This window comes from Homo sapiens, chromosome 8 (assembly GCF_000001405.40).
Source record: "Homo sapiens chromosome 8, GRCh38.p14 Primary Assembly".
Lineage (NCBI taxonomy): Eukaryota > Metazoa > Chordata > Mammalia > Primates > Hominidae > Homo > Homo sapiens.
This window is the reverse complement of record NC_000008.11, coordinates 109,257,831-109,279,056: the sequence shown is the minus strand read 5'-3', so window position 1 is coordinate 109,279,056 and position 21,226 is coordinate 109,257,831. Positions and strand designations below refer to the sequence as shown.

The 21,226-nt window shown below is 34.4% G+C and overlaps 1 protein-coding gene across 3 annotated transcripts in view, besides 1 other annotated feature; it reads left to right on the top strand.

Moving 5' to 3' along the window:
• Positions 1-21,226, top strand: part of NUDCD1 (NudC domain containing 1) — a 93,169-nt gene that overhangs the window by 55,031 nt on the left and 16,912 nt on the right. For all 3 annotated transcript variants that reach the window (NM_032869.4, NM_001128211.2, XM_047422330.1), the window contains exons 7-8: positions 3,561-3,705; positions 7,927-8,052. In NM_032869.4, the coding sequence (NP_116258.2) occupies positions 3,561-3,705; positions 7,927-8,052 (271 nt within the window). The remainder of the gene's footprint in view (positions 1-3,560; positions 3,706-7,926; positions 8,053-21,226) is intronic.
• Positions 15,684-16,319: an enhancer, noted in NCBI's record as "NANOG-H3K27ac hESC enhancer chr8:110274967-110275602 (GRCh37/hg19 assembly coordinates)". NCBI's record gives its function as "activates a minimal SCP1, AML or CMV promoter by ChIP-STARR-seq in primed H9 embryonic stem cells {active_cell/tissue: H9 hESC(primed)}" and the evidence as "EXISTENCE:reporter gene assay evidence [ECO:0000049][PMID:30033119]".

The window sequence follows — 21,226 nt, the reverse complement described above, 5'->3', positions numbered from 1 at the left end:
AGTGCAGTGGCACAGTCACTCAGCTAATTTTTGTATTTTTTGTAGAGATGGGGTTTTGCCATGTTGCTCAGACTGGTCTCGAACTCCTGACCTCAAGCGATCTGCCTGCTTCGACCTCCCAAAGTGCTAGGATTACAGGTGTGAGCCACCATGCCCAACTGAAAATATATGTTAAAAAACAAAACAAAGCCAAAACAAATTTGCAAACATATATTCATAGCAGGCATACTTATAAAAGCCAGAAATATCTCTAGTGTTACTGAAAAGGTGAATGGATAAGTACGTGTGGTATATTCATACAATGGAATGTTACTCTGTAATAAAGTGCTAGCAATAAATAAAAAGCAATATGAATGAATTAAAAACATGTGGAGTGAAAGAAGCCAAAGACAAAAAATCATACTGTATGATTCCACATATGGAGTTCTAGAACTGGCAAAACTAATCTATGGTGATACAAATCAGAACACTTGTTATCTCTAGGGTGTAGGGAGATTGACTGAAGAAAGGCCAAGGGAACTGCCTGTATGGTGGAAATAATTCAGTATCCTCATTGGGTTACAAAGGTGTATGCATTTGTCAAAATCAGTAAATTCTACACTTAAAACCTGTGAATTTTATTTATAAATTACACCTCAATTAAAGGAGCAAAACTGTGTCTTTTTAAAAAAAGATAAAGTTAAGTGTCTTTTAAAATTATAATCCTTTGCCCCCCACAACTGTGCCATTTTGCAAATCTATTATTCCAGGCAGTTTTTTCCCCAATTATTTGGATTACTAAAATTACTTTCTTTTATTTTAAATCAAGTCTTAGTAATTATTAAATTCAGTGATGGATTAATGAATAGAGTTAGGCAGTTAATTTTTTAAATAGTCAAATTTGGTCAGAAATGAGAAATGGTTGATTTAAAATACAACCTAAATCTTGTGCTTTAAGTTGATGTTACATAGAGGATAACTTAGATGTTTTTACACAAAGTATAGTTCTTAATTAGTAGTATATGATCCATGTGAGTCTGATACAAGTCTAAATCATGAGCATCCAAGAAAAATATATCTAGCTCATAGAAAGTTTGAAGTTGTAAAAGGTATCTTACATTTTATTAATGAAGACATTTGGTGATTTTGTTACACTTTTTAATATATCAAAAATAATTGCTTGAAAGTTTCTTTTAAAAGTATTTTGTATCTCCACATACTCCATTTAATTATGTTTATGTGTATGTGAGTCACATTTACAAATTGGCAAGCCAACTAGAACATATTGTTAAATGTAAGTCATCAAGCAGTAACCCAGCAAAGGTCTGGGGGAATAGCTTGACTTCATGTAAGTAGTTTCAGCATTCAATGCATCAACATAGATCAGTATTATTTTTCCATTAAATTTGAGGTGTTTGATTATTATTTTGTGTTAAAAAAGATAACTACAATGTAGCGTAGGTGGTATTGTTGTTTTAAAAACACGATTTTCTGTACTTGAGTAAATTATTCGTACCTCTCGTTTTCAAAAGTTACTGTTGTCTCACTTTGGAAAGATTTTTTTAACTAATCTGTAGTTTATTATATTTGGCATTGTTTGGGGTTTTTTTTTTGCTTGGATGGTAGCATACAATACTAGTTTTAAAACGTACAAATGCAGTCTTAGAAGAAGGGTGCACTGATTAACTGTGCAAATTAATGATGGTTTGGAAATTATAACAGATTGTATCAACTCTTTCAGACCTCTTTAGGTAGCAACTAAGAACAGTTCACTGGGTAAGTGTTCTTTAATAGTTATTTACATATATTTTTTCAGAGAGGCAGAATAGTGCAGTAGTGAAGAACATGGACTTAGAGCCAGACTGTTTAAATAGCTTGTGACCTTGGCAAGTTGCTTAACCTCAGTACTTTTTTTTCTTACTTGTAAAATGGTGATGATAATAATATTTACAGTACTTTATTTGGTTGTTGTAACCAATGAGTTAAAACATGTAAAGTGCTTAAGACAGCACCTGACATATAGGTAAGTATAAGCTATGGTCATTATTACTATTATTATCATCATCATTATTATCAAGATTACCTTTATCCTTAGAAAATGTAACTCAGTCTGGGGGCTGGGCACGGTGGCTCACACCTATAATCCTAGCACTTTGGGAGACCAAGGCAGGCAGATCACTTGAGGCCAGGAGTTTAAGATCAGCCTGGCCAACATGACAAAACCCTGTCTCTACTAAAAATACAAATATTAGCCAGGTGGGCATGATGGCGTGGCCTGTAATCCCAGCTACTTACTTGGGAGGCTGAGGCACGAGAGTCACTTGAACCCGGGAGTTGGAGGTTGCAGTAAGAGAGATTGTGCCATTGCACTGCAGCCTGGGCAAGAGAGTGAGACTCTGTCTCAAAAAAAGAAAAGATGTAACTAAATCTGGGCTTTTATTGTGGGAGTAATTTTCAGTGCTAATTATAAGTACTCATATTATTATTTTGTATAGTCTCTTAAAATAGGTAGTTTCAGAAAAATGTTAAATGCTGTAATTCATAAGGTAGTGATTGTAACAGTCTTGAAAAAGAACAGCTGGTAAGTTTGCGTGTCCTATTTGATAACTATAATAGTTATTATTGTATTCTTGCAGTTGTGTTCCAGGGCATGAGCTAATATGGTACATGTGTACGAAAGATGGCACATGGAAAAGGTTGCTTTGTTGTGGAATAGCTATTACCACTCCCCTTTTCTGTTATAGCAGTGGGTGCTCCCAAAGCATCTTACTTGGGTTTTCCTTCCTATTCCAGAGGAACATGGGACAAGTTACTTCTTCTCCTATGTCCGTAGTCTGCCTTGACTCTGCTCTCTTTCCCTTTCCTGCTGCATCAGTCCTTGATCTCAGGGTTCCCTGACAGACCATTTTAAGTGCATCTGGAATTGTTTAGTTGTTTACATGTACAGAATTAGATTTTAAATAAGTTAATAGAGAACACATTAACATCTTTTTTCCCTGTATTACCAAAGTTAATTTTTTTCCTTATTTCTACTTTTCAGTTATTTAACATCTGTATTTTAAAATTAAGATTTGCGTTGATTTAACCTGCTTGATCTTCAGGTTAATAATCATATATTATGGCTCTTAGTTTGTGAAAATAAAGTTAATTGTTGATTCCAGACACAAAGAATTATCCTTTAATTACAGCCCTTTTACTCTTTGCTTACATGCCCACACCCCCGACCATTCCCCAGATGTCTTATAGATCCATGCTTCTTGTATTTCTATTAAGTTCAGGAACATACTGCATACCAGTACTTTCTGGATGACTTGACTCTTTCCAGGCAATCCTCTCTTCAGGCCATTTGATGTACCATTTCCAGTGGTACTTTCTTTCTTTATTAAATCTGGACTATTTGCCATTGGATTATAGGTTTTCCATCACATGCAAAACTTAAATGAGCAAGATTTTTGGTAAACCATCCTCTGGACACCGGAGGGTTCTTTCTATAGAAGATAGAAACAAACAATGTTTGCTACTGATTGTATAATTTGTATAATTGCTTAATGTAACATTACTTTTCCCATTTAAACTTCTAGCTTGGAGATTTCCTTGATTAAGAAGAATGAAGGACTGACCTGGCCAGAGCTAGTAATTGGAGATAAACAAGGGGAACTTATAAGAGATTCAGCCCAGTGTGCTGCAATAGCTGAACGTTTGATGCATTTGACCTCTGAAGAACTGGTAAGTAGTTGGAATAGTAGTGTGACTTTCCAAGGGTCCAAAAATATGTTATGTGAAGATTATGCCATGCTTTTCAAACAATATTTTGCTTTTCCTAATATAAAAGATACATATCAGATACTACTGATCTGAGTGATGTTTGAATATGGCCTAAGTTCTAATATTTATTTCTTACACTATGTAAATACATACATATATGTGTGGTCATACTGTATAGAGGGTTTGCCTGTATCTGTTTATGTGTGCGTATGTATTGTGCGCTCTCTCTCTCTACATGTATTCTTTAGGAGAATCAACTGACCAATGCTGGTAGGACAAAAATTATGTTACAATTTATTTGCTAAGAATCTACTTATCCCTAAAATTTTTGAGGTGAGTTTACAATTTTGCAAGGATATATGTATCATATATAGTATAGTTATTTTTTCTTTATAATGTAATTCATTGTGATAATTACAGTGACAACACAATACTTAATCATGAGGTTGAATACATTCCCACTCTCATGACGTGTAAGATCATGTTAAGAATGTGAACAAATACAGCAGTACATCAGAACTTGAAATTATGTGTTCGTTTTCTAACAATGATATCAGCATATGAAAGATGTCTGGTTTATTGCCATCTTGAATTATAGAGATGAGGAAGACTGTGCAAAAATTATTTATACTGTAATGTTACTTGCATCCTAAGATAGAAAAGAAGGACTGGAATATTGAAAGTGAATGTCACTATCAAAAGGAAACATGGCTAAATAGAGAAACTAAGTTTCATGTTTGCCAGTAGTAATTGAAAATTTCAGAAATCACTGGAATTCTTATGTAGGACTGCAAAACTTTGATTTCATAGCCCTGTTTACAACAAGCCATGCAGGCTGCATTGCCTTATATTCGCTCATTCAGCAAGTATTATTGTATTAGGCTCTGGGGATATAATAGTGACAGTAGTGGAGATGTGTTTTGAGATTGTAGATAATTGCAGTTAACTACTTGTTAAACTCAATGGTTTCAATTGAATGTTAGTGTTTATGAGAAAGTTATTTATGCCTGAACACCAGTGTGTTTGTTAGATTATGAGAAGACAAATATACAATCTCATCTGCAGCTGAAGGCAGTTTTATGTTTTTCAATTATTCATACTTGCCTTACTGCAGTGGTTAGAATGTCTACTCCACAGCTATATAGAACTCTCGAATGGTAAAAGCAGACATTCTTGCCTTATTTGTGATCTTGGGGAAAATAATCGACTTTTATCATTAAGAAGGATAGGTTCTTTTTATTACATTGAAGAAATTTTCTTCTATTTGTAGTGTGCTGAGAGTTTTTATCATGAATGATTATAGAATTTTCTGCATTGGTGGGATAAGCCCGTCTTGGTCATGATGTATTATCCTTTTACATATTGCTGAATTTGATTTGCTCATATTTTCTTGGGGATTTTTATGTCTATTTGTGAGGAATATTGGATAGGTTTTTTGTTTTGTGTTGTTTTGTTTTTTGCCATCTTTTTCCAGTTTGGGTATCTGGGATAATAACCTTGTAAAATGATTAGGGAAGTGTTCTCTCTTCTATTTCTAGAAGAGAATGTATAGAATTAGTGTTATGTCTTAAAATGTTTGGTAGAATTTGTCAGTAAAACAATCTGGACCTTGAGTTTGCTTTTTTGGAAGGCACTTAACTATGGTGCCTTAGTTTTTAATGTTTTTCATTTCTTTTAACAGATATAGGTCTAATGTGAGCATCTGTTTCCATTGCCTTTGTTTTTCAGTTTTCCATTTCTTATTTTCTGTGTTAAATTTATTATGTTCTTCCTTTTGTTTACCGGGGATATATTTTGCTCTTTTTTTCTATTTTTGAAGGTGATACTTAGTTGATTTTTGACCTTTCTGTTCCAATGAAAGCACTTAATGTTGTACATATCCTTCTAAGCACTACTGTAGCTGCATTCTCTAAATTTTTGCCTACCTTCTTAATTCCATAGGGATTGATTTGATTTGATGCTGGGCTTCAGTCTTTTACATGGCTGATTTATTCCATGTTTATTCTTACACCTAAGGCAAAACTTTTCATTTATCTCAACTGAAAGCCTAGGATGGTTACCAGGTCTTCTCCTACTGTGTGGACTCTGAAGTCTAATTTTTGACTCCCAAGCACTTTAATACCCCAAACTCAGCTTTTTAGCTCCTTATTTGCTGCTTTCCGCTTGTCTTTTTCGACTCAGTTTAGAAATCAGCAAATGGTCCTTGGAAAGCAGTATAGCATGTTTGACCCTTTTCTCTGCAATTTCCTTGTCTCTCTAATCTTGTCCTGTGAAGCACTGGTGGCCTTGATAGTCCCGAACTTTTAATTTTTTCTGCTTCTAAAGTATGAATAATTGGAAGGGGAAGGGAAGGAGAAATCTATAGGGTACTTTCTCTATTCTGCTGGACATAGATATCTCCTTGAGTCACTGTGCACAATGGCATCAACTAACCAGGAGATTGTTGGCGGTGCCTTTACAGCCAGCCACAGCAACCATAATTGTTCCCATTGATATTTAGAGTAGAGGCAACAGCCACAACTAGGTGGTTCCATATCCCAGCTGGGACATGGACACATGTTGAGTATGTAGATCTTCTAGAACTCCCATCCATTTAGTTTCAGATTCTCTCAGTTCATTTCATTAAGTTCTTAATAACATGAGAATTAACATATCTCTGTATCTTAGCAAACTAGATGTTTACACATTTGGTCAGTTGTAGAATTGTATTTCTGCTATATGCAAATATTGTATAATTTATTCCTTAATTATTGTGATCCTGTTACTCTGTGAGGTATATAAGACCAGACAGTGACCCTTGCATTGAAGCAAGGGAACATTTAAAAATTGCTTTTATGAATTTATGAATTTTATGAATTTATTTATGTCTACTTTAAGCATATTGTTAACTATATTTCAATGTTTCTGTTTGGGTAGATATTTGCGTGTGTGTGTGTGTGTGTGTGTGTTTTAGTGGTTCTAGAGGTTACATATTTGACTTATCACCAACTATCTTTAAAAACTGTATCATCTATAATTTAAGAAATTTATATTTTCCACTCTATTCTTTGTATTATTGTTGTCTTACATTTTATATTTTATATTCTATTAAAATTAATAATACCTTGTTATTTTAGCTATAGTCAGTAATTCTCTTTTAAAAGAGATTAAAAATGTGAAAAACAGGTCTTTCATTTACTCTTATATTTGCCTTTTCCTCTATTCTGCATTCCTTTGTGTTGATTGACATTTTCATCTGATGTTATTTTTTTCTGGCTTGAGAGCTTCTTTTAGCATTTTTTCTAGTGTAGATTTGCTGGTGATAAATTCTCTCAGCTTTTTTCTGCAAAAATATTTCTCTTTTCTTCCCTTTTCCAAAGTTATTTTTGTTATGTATATAATTTGGTGTTGACAGGTTTTTGTTTTTGTTTTTTTCTCTTACACCTTCAAATATCCACCATTGTATTCCGGCCTACATAGTTTCTGATGAGAAGTCAGCTGTCTTTTACATCTTTGTTCCTCTGTAAATAATGTATCTTTTCCTCCTCTGTCTGCTTTTAGGAATTTCTTTATTTCTGCTTTTCAGAAATTTAATTATAATGTGACTTACTGTGGTTTTTGATTTTTTAAAGAAAATGTTTGTTGTGCTTGGAGTTCTTTGACATTCTAAAGTGTTGGCCATTACTTATTTGCAATTTTTTTCCCCATTCTTCTTGCCCTCCTCCAGTTACCCATATGCTAGACCATTTGATATTGTTCCACAGGTCACTGAGTTTCCCTGCTTTTATGTTTTGTCTTTGTGCTTCATTTTGTAGTCACTATTGCTATTTTTCAAGCTCGCTGGTCTTTTCTCCTGCAGTGTCTAATCAGCTGTCTGTCACATCTGTTTTGTTTTTCATTTCAGATTTGTGTTTTTATATCCAGAAGTTCAGTGTGGTTCTTTCATCTCTCTCTTTCTCAACATGGTTATGTTTTCCTTTACATCTTTGAGTATATGGAACTGTTTATAATACCTGTTTTCATATCCTTTTCTGTTGACTTCATCATTCTGTTATTTCTGTTTTTGTGATTATGATTTTATTGGTCATAGGTTTGCAATTCATTTTTAATTACTGCTGTAACCTTAAAATTTTTAAAGATGAAGAAACCCATTCCCTTGTTTATTTGTTTTACTTATTTACTTATTTTATTTTCTGGACTAAGAATCCAAATCCAGATAAAGAAAAACCACCTTGCAATGCTCAAGAGTTAGAAGAATGTGATATTTTCTTTGAAGAGAGCTCCAGTTTATGCAGATTTGATGGCAATACATTAAAAACTACTCATGTGGTAAGTTACTGATATTAATATTTCTAAAATTTTGTCAGTAGTTACTCAGATAATGATTGGTCTAAATATGTTTTTCAAAGATACTTGATTAGCAGTTACTGGCTTTGATAAGTCTCATCACTCCATAAAGTAGCATCTTTTCATACTACCACACTCAGCAAAACAGTGTTGTATAGTTTTGGTACCACTGTATATTGATATCTTTCAAGTGGTGCTTTTCTGGACAGCTTTTTAATATACAATTGTGACCCTGTAATGTATAATAACTTCACTTTTTTTTTTTCATTCAACAGTATGGACTTAAGTGTTTCCTCATGTTATTGAAATGTCTGGTTTAATGGTTGGATTATGCTATGATGTTGGTCATGTCTGCATGTAGTGGTTCTACACATTACAATAAGTAATAACTTTTTTAAAGTACATTATTTATGATGATGCTATTTTTAAAAATCTCTGTCATATGAAGCCTTTTCTATTTCCAGGGATATTTATCTAATAACGAGTTACAGAATTCAAATTAATGAATCATAAGCCTCTGACAAATTGATTACCACTTATATTTTTATTAGTAATGATTGCAGTTATTGCCTGATTCACTGCATCTTCACCTTCACTTTTGTTTGATCATTATTAATTGGTGTGTAGAATAAACTTGTGCCAATCTTTTTTTTTTTTACTGTCAAGTTATTTTATGTAATAACTATTTCTTTTGTGAAGTTTTTATTTGTCTTAGTGTTTCTTACCAATTTGTATGATGTGTTTTAAATTTGAATAATGCTTCTATATCAAGTGAGTTAATTTTTTTCTTCTTTTTATATTTTGGAATGTTTTTTATTCAGCTCATTAATTCATCTGGAATTTGTTTTTCCTTTTCTCTCTGGTGTGCCATATATGCATATATTTCACACCCCACCTTAAGGCACCCCCCCCCCCCCCCGCCCCCGCCACCTCAAAATTACACTCTTTTTACAAGCTTTGACAGATTTGTATTAAGATACTGAAGAAGACTGCCTGGAGTGGCTTGGTGCAGTAGATGTAGATTTTTTTTTTTTTTTTTTTAATTTAGAACCTTATTAGATATTCCTTCTTAGGGGAATCCTTAACCATTAGTTAATACTACTAAATGTGTTTCATAGAGTTGTTTATGTGAGCAGGGTGTCTCAGCAAATCAGTGGCTAATTTAGAGCTGTGCATATAGAAATTAATCTAGTGTTATTACTGAAACCAGAAGGAAATTTAGGAGACTCATTCCAAGCAAAAGCAACAGAGGAGATTGAGAACAACTTGGTCTTTTGTTTCTGTTTTTAGACTTGTGAGTCTTTGATACAGGTTTCAAAGGTTCTGTTTTCAAGAAAAACCTGAAAAATGTCTGCCAAGTGTGCCCTGATGTTTCTTTGTCACGTAGAGATTTGGGGGAAAGTGTATTCTAGCAGAATTCATGTAACCGAAGTTAAAAGTGTCATGGGAAGCTGGCTTACCAGGTCTGAGTTCTGGCCCAACATTTTACTGACTAAAAGGAAATATAACTGTTCTTCTCACTCGCTATCCCTTCCTAGTCTTTTTGGATACTTACCAGCTTTATTTAATGGCTGAACATTAATTAGTACTCAAAGAAGTAAAATGAGCATTTCTAGATTACACCAGTGTAGATAAATGAGGTGGAATGGCATAGGACCAATGGCTAGGCAGAAGTACCATTTGAAACTGTATCAAAATTAAATATTTGCTTTTACAATTAATTTCTATCTCTTCAATGCTCTCTTGTTCACCACACTTTAACACCAGTAAGTTCTAAAAAGCACATGTATGACATTTTACCAGTGTCCTCAACACCTACCAAATGTTCTGATTCATAATAGATGCTTAATATATTTCTTTAGAATTATCTTTTAGTGACAGTCATTAAATTAAAAAAATGGTTTTAGGTCCATCTTGGATCTCAAGAAATGAATATCTTTCATTTTCCCGCTTCCTCTTCAATTACTCTTCTAATTGAAGAGTAAGCAGTATTCTTAATCAGATTATTATATCCAGGCTGGGTACTGGTCAAAACCCAAGATTATTGGAGCTGTTTTGATTTTTTAGGAGTTTTACTTCCTAGATGTTGTTTAGTTTTGACATAATCCCATACATGATTCCCTGAATTGTGATAAATAAGAGCTATCACATAGCTGCTCTTCTTTTTATTACCTTGGGTTAAATTTTAGAGAACCAGTTGCAGGCGTGACTGATAGAAGGCTGTTGAATCTGACTTAACTGGAGATTATTTGTTCTAATAATGAAGAATCTGGTTGTTCTTCTTAACGTTATAGTTTTAGGTGCTATAACTCTTAGATACTGTTTTCTGCCAAACTTTTGAAGGCAGCTATATCTTAGGTGTCATAAAATGCTGTGGTTTAAACGTAGCTTCCCTGAGAATTTCAGTTCATCTTAGTACTCCTAAGTATTGTTGATCAGTAGTTTAATGTTGGTCACTAAGATACCCCCAGTTTATGATACCTTTCTTCATTTCCTATGTTTGAGCATGTTAATTAAAACCAAGCAATGGCAAAATAAAACCATTATTACTGATACATTACAGTACCAAAGCTTAGTGGATCTGCTTACTAAGTCCTAGAATTTAGCAGATTTAACTATAGTCACAGGCAATGTTACATCAGCTCTGGCTGCCCCTAGAGGGGCAGCTGAAACCTCTTCTTTCCTGAGGCCTCTAGCTCCTTATAGGAAAAAGTGATAGAACTGAGCAAAATACACCGATTTTTCTTACATTTACCAATCAAATGTGACTTCACTCCTCAGGAATTTATAAAAGCTAGAATGTTATAGCAGTGGATCTTCTCAGTGTCGTAGATGGAAACATCAAGAGTGGGGAAGAAGTCCAATATATAATAAAAAGGGACAATCTTTCCAGCTTCAAAGAAATTCCATATTTCATCTTCTTCATTTTACAGATTTATTAAGACAAGCTGAGATAGATGGAGTTTATATGGGATCAAAGCGAGAGTCAGTAGTAGAAACTAGATCTCTCGGGCTGCCAGTATGCTTTCCATAATTTTCCCTAAACAACAGGATCATAAATTTCTATTTGGAGTTACTAAGCTACTGCAGTTAGTACTTACTTCTGAATAAATACAGTTAGTCTTCTGTGTTCCTAAGAGTGTGAACAATAGATTTCTGTGGTAAGCAGGTTCTATCCTCAGTAACTTAAGAAATAAACAAATAATCCTTCACTGTACCATAGCTTTTATAGACAATATTTGATGAGACATTTCCAGTATTTTGTACATACTGTTTTAACTATTTAATCACATTTCAGAGTTTAATTGCTGGTTTAACTTCAATTAGTGTATAATTAAAACTAAAGATTCTTATCTTTGTTTCAGTTGGATTTTAAACCAAACTTTCTTTTTATGATTATAAGCCCTTTATGGTAGAACAATTTTTATTTCTTTGGATATATATACAGTCATGGGATTGCTGGGTCAGACGATAATTCTGCTTTGAGTTCTTTGAGAAATCTCCAAACTACTTTCCACAATAGCTAACTAATTTACATTCCTATTAGCAGTGTATAAGCATTCTCTTTTCTCCCCAATGTCACCAGCATCTGTTATTTTTTTACTTTTTAATAATGGCCATTCTGACTCGTGTGAGATCCTAAATACTGAGTACATATGGACACACAAATAAAAACAACAGACACCAGAGCCTACTTGAGGGTGGAGGGAGGGAGGAGGGTGAGGATTGAAAAACTACCTGTCGGGAACTATGCTTATTACCTGGTTGGCGAAATAATCTGTGCACCAAACCCCCATGACATGCAATTTACCTATGTAGCAAACTTGCACAAGTACCCCTGAACATAAAATTTAAAAATTATAAGCGTTTTGATTTTTCTATTACTAATTTTTATAAATATAGACAAAAATGCAGTGAAGTAAAAATGCATAAACGTATATGTAGAATGGATACTCATACAATGTTTGAAATTTGAAATTACCTTACATGGGAAGGTTAGTATATGTCCTTAGAGTTTTAGAAAATAATACTGTAATGAAAAGGTCAGAACTCTATGTTTTAAATGACAAATATCCCAAAATATGTTTCCTTTAAAGACATGGACATTAGGGTTAGAATTGCCATTTTGAAAATAAAATGTTAAATAAATAAATGAAGCAGCACAATAAAAGAAATATTAAATATCAGAACTGAATATTTAATATTTCTCTGAAATATTAAATTGGTCACTGAAGTGTAAAGCACAAATCAGAATTCAGATAGAATTGAAGATGAATTATTTTTACTTCTAAGAGCTATGCTGTCAAAATGTTAGCCTCTGGCCATATGGTGACTATTGAGCAATTGAAATGTGGCTAGTCTGCATTGAAATGTGGTATAAATATAAAATACACAACCAGATTTTGAAAACATGAAATACATAAAACATAAAATATTACAAATAGCCGGGCGAGGTGGCTCACACCTGTAATCCCAGCACTTTGGGAGGCCGAGGTGGGCGGATCACGAGGTCAGGAAATCGAGACCATCCTGGCTAACACAGTGAAACCCCATCTCTACTGAAAATACGAAAAAAAAAAAAAAAAAAAAAAAATTAGCCGGGCATGGTGGCAGGCACCTGTAGTCCCAGCTACTTGGGAGGCTGAGGCAGGAAAATGGTGTGAACCTGGGAGGCGGAGCTTGCAGTGAGCCGAGATCGCGCCACTGCACTCCGGCCTGGGTGACACAGCGAGACTCCGTCTCAAAAAAAAAAATTATTACTAATAAATTTTTATATCAATTTTCATGTTGAAATGATAATCATTTGGATATGTTTCATTTAATAAAATGTTATTAAAGTTAATTTATCCAGTTTCTTTTAATGCTTAAATATGGCTACTAGATAATTTAAAATTATGTATGTGGCTCCCATTTTATTTCTGTTGGACAACACTGATCTGTATTAATCAAATTATATAGACTTGAATGACCAGAAGGTGAAAGGATATTTTTAAGTATTAGATTATGGTGAATTTCTTAGATCAGATGATATTCATCTGTTGCTTAAGACAGGGGTCCCCAATCCCCTGGGCCACAGACCTTACAGGTCCCTGGCCTGTTAAGAACCTGGTCGCACAGCAGGAGGTGAGCAGTGGGTGAGCTCCGCATCCTGTCAGATGAGCAGCAGTCTTAGAGTCTCAAAATGGCGTTATTGTGAACTGTGCATGCAAGGGATCTAGATTATGCACTCCTTATGAGACTAATGCCTGATAATCTGAGGTTTCATCCTGGAACCCCCACACACCCCTGCCTTTGTCCGTGAAAAGATTGTCTTCCATGAAATGTGTCCTTGGTGCCAAAAAAGTTGGGGACCACTGGCTTAAGATATAAAATTGAAACACCTGAAATAATATTTGTAACTTTTAAATAAACTCATCAAGACAGGAGGAAGAGTTACAAACAGAAAATAATTCTTTTAAGTTAATGTCATTATGAAAGGAAGTAGGAAAGGCAAGTGCTGTACATTGTTAATCCTTTCAAGAGGATATTAAGGATAGGATCAGAAGTTATTAGAGCATTTATAATAGTGTAAATAGTTATAATAGTTTAAAAAACATTTAAAAGGTATCTAAACCAGTGGTTTTTGGTCTCAGGACCCCTTTACATTCTTTTTTTTTCCCTCCATATTTTATTAAACTATTTGGAAATGAAAAATTTAAATTATTATAAAAAACAGAATTATCCATTACAAAAAGTCATTCAAAGTAATGAATAATCAAGTAATTTCATGTAAACGGCATTTTTACGAAACAAAATTGTTTAATTACTAACAATTCATTTGTAATTAAAATTAATGTTAGAAGATTTGAGATTTATTTTTTAATTAGGTTAAACATTATCCTTGCAATTATGTTTCACTGAATAATTAGTATTCTTAGCAAGCCTTTTAACCACCCAATGGGTTTACTTTGCCTGTCTTTACCTCCTTAAGCTTTTTGGTGTACTTAATTTTTATATTTGGATTATATTTATCAAAACGTATCATATTAGAAATTAAGAATTTTTTTAAATATTCATTTTAAAATAATAACCTATTAACATAAATAATATTTTCTAATGAAAATTGGGATCTTTTCCAGAGTAAAAAAAAAAAAAGTAGGAGGAATGTCATTGTTTTACATTTTTGCAGATCTCTCTAATGTCTGCATTAATATAGTTGAATCCTTATATCTGCTTCTGCATTCAATCTCTTGCAATATGATACTGTAGTTGAAATATATTCAGATTCCTATAGATATATAACTGGAAAGAAAGGGATACTTAATTATCATTTGCAGTTAATGGTGAGTTTTTTCCTTTGATATTACACCAAAATTTGACATGCCCATTTCTTAAATATTAGTTGCAATGTAAACTTTTCATGCTCTGTTACTTTAAAATCAGTTGGTTTTTGAGACACTTTGAATGGATGTTTTTACCCATGACGATAACTTGGAAATATTGCTTCTCAGAGTTATGCAGACTTTCCAAATGCTAATCTATTTCATTATTCAATATAAACCGATACACACATAAGCATTTGTTAATATACCACTAATCTCACCAGAAAAGTGTTTAAGGATTGGCAGGCTATTATCCTCATGGTGATAAATATGAGTTCTTCAAAATTCTAAGTTTTGTTCAAAAGCTGAAATTTTATCTTTGGCAACAAATACTTTTGGGTGTTCTCCTTGAAGTGACAGACTTTGGTCATTTACTTTGGAAAAATGTTTGCCAAATCTCAATTCAGAATAACCATAGTTTGTCGACTGTTGTTTCAGGTAAAAATGATGTTCCATGAAAAAACAGCCATTTCAGTGTTTGCAACTCAAACGATTCCCAAGTGCTTCCCAAGTACAACCATGGTACTTTAGTATGCAGCAGAAGTGCTTTATGTGTACTTCCTATTTAGTCATGCAGAATACTAAAAAGACATATACTCAAGAGTCAAGATTTAATAAAATTAATCATTTTGACTTCTTTCTCAAGGACATTTTAAAGTGAAACTGGCCTTTTCTTTACAGTGAGTACGTGGCAGTGAAGAATGTAGCAACTTCAAGTAATTACTAGTATGTGGTGCTATTATTTGCAGTAATTTATGCTATCACTCCAGTTTTACCTACTTTTCCTTTTGTACCATCCATACAAATTTAAAAATAGGGAGAAAGCAATTTACATCCTAGTATTACTATGAAAATAGTTTTAAGCCTATGGACCCCCTGAAGATGTCTCCCAGCACCCCCCTCCCCAACCCAATAGGGTTCTGCATATCATACTTTGAGAGTGGCTAAAGCAGAGATTGTGTGTATATGCCACTCACACAGTAACAGCACTAATTCTTAGAAAGTTACAGAATAATAGTTACGTCAAGAACTGTGAAGGTTCTGAGATTTTACCCCATTTACAGGCTAACAAGTTAACCTGCCAGTTTAATGGATTCTGGTAGGAGACAGGAAATTACTGGATTGGAGTCTTTATTTGCACAGTAAACAGCATAAGCATTAGCATATTTGTGCCAATTTCTCAAGTCTAAAATTCCCACTGGGCAAAACAGATGGGTCCAGATGGATTCCCACCTACATCAATAGGCTGTATTACAGGAGAGAAAACTTGAGCTTAGGGAACTTGAATCTGCTATAATGATCAGTTAGCATGTCTAACTGCTTGTTGTCATAAACATTTTGCCCATAGTACTGGAGGGAGGCACTCTATCTTCTAAGGTTGTTCATTATGCAAACATCCCTGTGTGAACAAAGTTCTTTGAGAAGGAATTTGGAGGAAAGAGACTTTATTCCAGTGAACAGTTTACAGACTGAGGAGATGTAGCCTTAGGCAGCCTTCAGTGTAAAATGAAGGTGCGTTCTAGAGAACAAAGAGAGGGTTCAGGGTTTTTTTTTTTTTTTTTTTTTTTTTGAGACAGAGTCTCACTCTGTCCCCCGAGCTGGACTGCATTGGCACGATCTCGGCTCACTGCAACCTTTGCCTCCCAGGTTCAAGCGATTCTCCTGCCTCAGCCTCCTGAGTAGCTGGGATTACAGGTGCCCGCCATTAGACCCAGCTAATTTTTTATATTTTTAGTAGGGACAAGGTTTCACCATGTTGGCCAGGCTGGTCCCAAACTCATGACCTCGTTATTCACCCACCTTGGTCTCCCAAAGTGCTAGGATTACGGGCGTGAGCTACCACACCCGGCCACATTCAGGTTTTATAGCAACAGTTCCTGCCCAGGTTCCCAAGCAGATCCGTTTATGCAAATGAATGAATTACAGCTTAGTTCTGATCGATCAGCACAGCTGAGCCCCTTGGTCAATATAGTTGAGCCATGATTGATTGATTTACTTTGGAAGAATGTTTGCCAAATACCCAATTCTGAATAACCATAGTTTGAGCTGAATAACCACAGCTGAGCCCTGATTGACCAGGGCAGGTGAGCTCTGACTGGTTGGTTTTCAAGCATAAAACCAGAAGTCTCTGTCAAGTGTTTCTTTCAAATGGTGAGTGATGGGTGAGGGGATTCTGGCTGCTGTTTATTTTGGCACCAACAATAGGAACTGGTTTGACTTGGCTGTAGAAAAGGAAGTCCTGTCATACTTTTACAACAGCTTTCTGAGAACACAATAGGTGACCACTTCCTCACCCAGCCTTGGCTGCCTGCTTCTGTTTTAACTTTGAGCACTTCAGCCATGGGAGTCCATTTTGTCTGTCCACTGGGGGCATTAACATTTGGAAAGGTATTAGAGAGTAAAGAGCAGTCAGTATCTCCGCTTTCAAAACATACAGAAGTTAAAGAGAAATGTAGAATTAACTTAAAACAATACGAAGTAAAACCACATATACAAGTATTTAAATTTTCTTTTTCTTGGTAGATTCCTTTAGCCCATAGAGAGTGGCTGAAGTGAGTAGTCTTTTCTTGCCCTTGTAGTTTGATAACTGAAAGACGTTTTTTTTTGTTGCAACAGTAATTGCTGTTCATAACACCATGTAATGCAGTGCTCCATACCTGTGTGTGTATGTGTACTAGTACAGATGTGTATGTATAGGTATATATTATACTTCTTTATGGTGTGTACTAGCCCTTACTAGTACATAGTGAGGCCCTGTGAGTCCTGAGGGCCTATGAGTCCTACTTGAAGAAAATTTACATTTAGAAAAATAATTAAACCGGGCAAATTATGATGGTATGAAGTCATCATTTTAATAAAGTTTAAGTAGAAGTCTTTTATTAAAAATATATATTGTTTAAATAGCATTAATGTAAATGAAAATAAACAATGAATCAATGTTTTTGTGTTTTATGTTTTCTAGATCTCATCTCTTAACTACTTATATCTCCTTACGCCTTTTTCCTCTTGCCCAAGAAAGCAGTCCTAAATGTCTAATATTTCATTGTTAGTATTTATTACTTATATGTTTAACAGCCCTTATCACATTTACCTCTTAATAATAGGTTAATTTCATGTTCTTGAACTCTATGAATGGAATCATAATCTGGAGTATTCTTTTGTGACTTTTTTTCTTTAAGTTTGTGAGAGTCAACCACATTGTCATGTATAGTTGAGTTTCATTCGTTTTGACTCTTACATAGTTTTCATCATGTATATATATGTAATTTATTCATTCTAGTGTGGATTTTTCATTTTCTTGACCTAGCAGTGCTAATGTTAACCTTTTTGAAACTTTCACCTTGTAGTCCTTGTGTAATTTTTATGTCTATAACAATACTGTAGGTTCAATTTGTAGCCTACTGTTTTAAAAATTAATATTGCCATGAGCATTTTATACTAATATATTGCATGCTGTCATATAGGCTTATACTATAATTTAATCAGTTATCTAATGAATATGTTTCCCCTAGATTTTTAAAAATTACAAATATAATCATTTAAAATACCCCCCTACATGTATTTCTTAAATTATCTTAGAGTCTTGGCCTTGGATTAAAGTGTTCTACAAATATTGCAGAAGTTACCTGTCACCACTTTTAATGTAACCATGCCAACATTGAGCAAATAAATGTATATGGTGCTTACATTCAATTTCGAAGACTTGTTGGTAATCAAGACAGTCTCTACTTTTAAAACATACAGTCATGTGGGGAACAAGCATGTAAATAAATATTTATAACAATAATTATAGTGTAGGAAAGTGAGGAAAGAGAGTTGTATCAAGCAAATATTGCAATTTATGTGATATCCCAGAGATGATGGTTCTTTTGAGATTCAGAATCAGCACAAATCTGGCAAGGCCAGAGTATAGAGTCTCAAAGAGACGTGTGCATGTGTGTATGCGTAGCAATACTACTTAATACTATTTCCATCTTAATGGTTATGAATTGATATCTGAGATATGTGAATTATACATTGAGTTTCTTTGGCTCATATTGCATTTGATTTCTGTATGCTTGTTTTAAATTCTGTTTGCTCCTGTTGTACCTATTATCTATTTTTTAGCTTTTTGACTAGCATATGGGCCAGGCGCAGTGGCTCATGCCGATAATCCCAGACTTTAGGGAGCCAAGGCTGGAGGATCACTTGAGGCCAGGAGGTCAGGACCAGCCTAGGCAACATAGCGAGACTCCACCCCCACCTCTTGTGTATACAAAAAAATTTGCCAGGTGTGGTGGTGCACACATCTAGTCCTAGCTACTCAGGGGCCTGAGGCCCGAAGATCTCTTGAGCCCAAGAGTTGGAAGTTCCAGTGAGCTATAATGGTGCCTACACTCCAGCCTAGGCAACCTACAACAGAGTGAGACCTTCTCTCGAATAAAAGGAAAAAATAGCATATGATTTGATTTTGGGTCATAATTGTTGCAGACATTTCCCTTTGGCTGTTTTTGGTTAATATTGCTTATTTTTTCTCACTTTAATGACAGCTTTAAGTGTTTATGTATTTGAGTAATGTTTATATATTTGCCTTCTTGCACTTAGAAGATTATTGCCCTCATAAAAATCTGGTAAATATTCATACTGTTTTTTGATATTTTTATTGTGTCCTAATCTTCTGTGTGACTCTTTGAGGTTTACTTTTAGTATATGAAAAAATCTTTTGAATAGTAAGCTGTTAAAAGTATGAATTAGCAAGTACTTGATTTGCCCAGAAGAAACTTATTAAATAAGGTAAATTTGTGTTGCTCCTGTTTTTGAGAAAGTGAAACTTATCATGAAAATCTTTAAAAAACAGATGGTGATATTTAGTTTCTAGCAAAACAGAAATTAAAGCACATTATGCTTTAATTAAAGTACTACCACCAAATCAGTGAGAAGATACTTTCTTCTGGAAGAGAGTTAGCAACAGCCAGGGCATTATTCAGGCAGCTGTCAACCATCTTCCCAGTACTCAACCTGCCTTTTCAGCTCCTCATTAATAGGCAGTGAAGTGGAGGGCATTTATTGCCTGATTAACCAGATAATCCCATAGACACACCTCTAACCTTGTTAATCAACCTGTAAGGCTCTCATTTTTCTCCTCCAGGGAGCCCTTTCTCTGTCAGCATTCCATCTTCTTATCCATAATGACAGTGGGTCTGAGATTTTTAGCCTACTTGCAAGCTAACAAGTTAGCCTATCACAGTTTCATAGATGCTGGTAAAAAGACATGAAACTCCTGTGTCAGACACAAAGGATAGTTTATTACTGACAGCAATAGCATTAACCCAGAGTATCAGCATTTGGACCAGTTCCCTGATCCTCAGTTTCCACGGGGAAATGTGGAGATGGCCAGTAAGCCTTCCTGTACTTTGTTTAGAAGAAACATTATTCTACTGGACTTTAAACAAATCTGCCTTTTGCTTTGGAAAGAGATGCTATATCTTCCTAGGTTATTTGCGTTATTTGCTTTACAAACATCCTTGAAATAGTAGTTGAGAATTAAGGACTTATATTTAGTGCCTCTGCTTCAAAGATATGCAGAAAATGTGAGTATTTAGGAAAATTGTCTCCCAGCAGCTTAAAGTTCAGGTATCACAGTAATGCTGACCTCAATATGAGTGTGGTTTTATTGGAGACATTTTAGTTTCTTTCGGGATTGTGAGAGTATATTGAATAATGTTGTTAATTATTGGTTGCCAATTATTATTACCTATGATGGACTTATGTGCAGAAGTCTTTAATTCCTTTTTTGCCTTTCATTCTCCTCTGAAAAGATATACTTTTAGTTGCAAATCTTATATTTTTTGATTCTTAAAATTCTGTACAGTGTCAAGCCTTCAGTGCAGTAGAATTCAGTCCTTTCCTTGGGATAGTAATGAAATGCTTAACTGATACTTTTTTTTTCTTAGAATCTGTGTTCATATATACTGAGCCTTTCTCCAGGAATATACTCTTCCTAGAAGCTGTTGTTTTAGCTAGGATATTTAATTATTTTCCTTCTAGAATCTTAAAGGGCAAAGCCATTTTTAGCAGCTATCATAAATTACTATCCCAGTTGGAAGAATTTTTATCAAATATAGCTTTTCTTTCTTCGCCAACCTTTTCCTAGGGAGACTGCCCCTCACACACTAGATGAGATGAAGTCTATGTTCCTGGCTGGAGGGATTGATAGATAGTTGATAATAAATGCAGTTTGTTTATTATTATTATCATTTGCTATGCATTTTGTGGGTTTGACAGTAATATAAATAATAAACCTGACACATGAATACAATGACCTTATTTGTGACAAGGGTGACATAGCAGTGCAGTGGGAAAAGGATGGTCTTTTCAACAAATGGCACTGGGTCTGTTAGATATCTGTAAGAAAAAAAATTATTTTGACTTTTACATCATACCATATGCAAAAATCAGTTACAGATGGGCTGCATATGAAATAATAAACTATGATGATAAACATGAAGTAAACTAATAAAACTTTTAGAGGGAAACACAAAGTCATCTTTGTGGCCTTGGATTAGGCAAAGATTACTTGACTAGGACATGTAAAAACACTAACTCCAAAAAAAGAAAGTGATCAATTGGATCAAAATTAACATCTATTTTTCAAAAATATGTCATTATGAGAGTAAAACAAAAACCTACAGAGAGGGGAATGAATTTGTAATACATGTGTTTGACAAATGATTCATTATCTGCAAGACTCAGTGGGCCAGGTACCTGTTTTTATAAATAAAGTTTTATTAGAACTCAGTCATAGACATGTATTT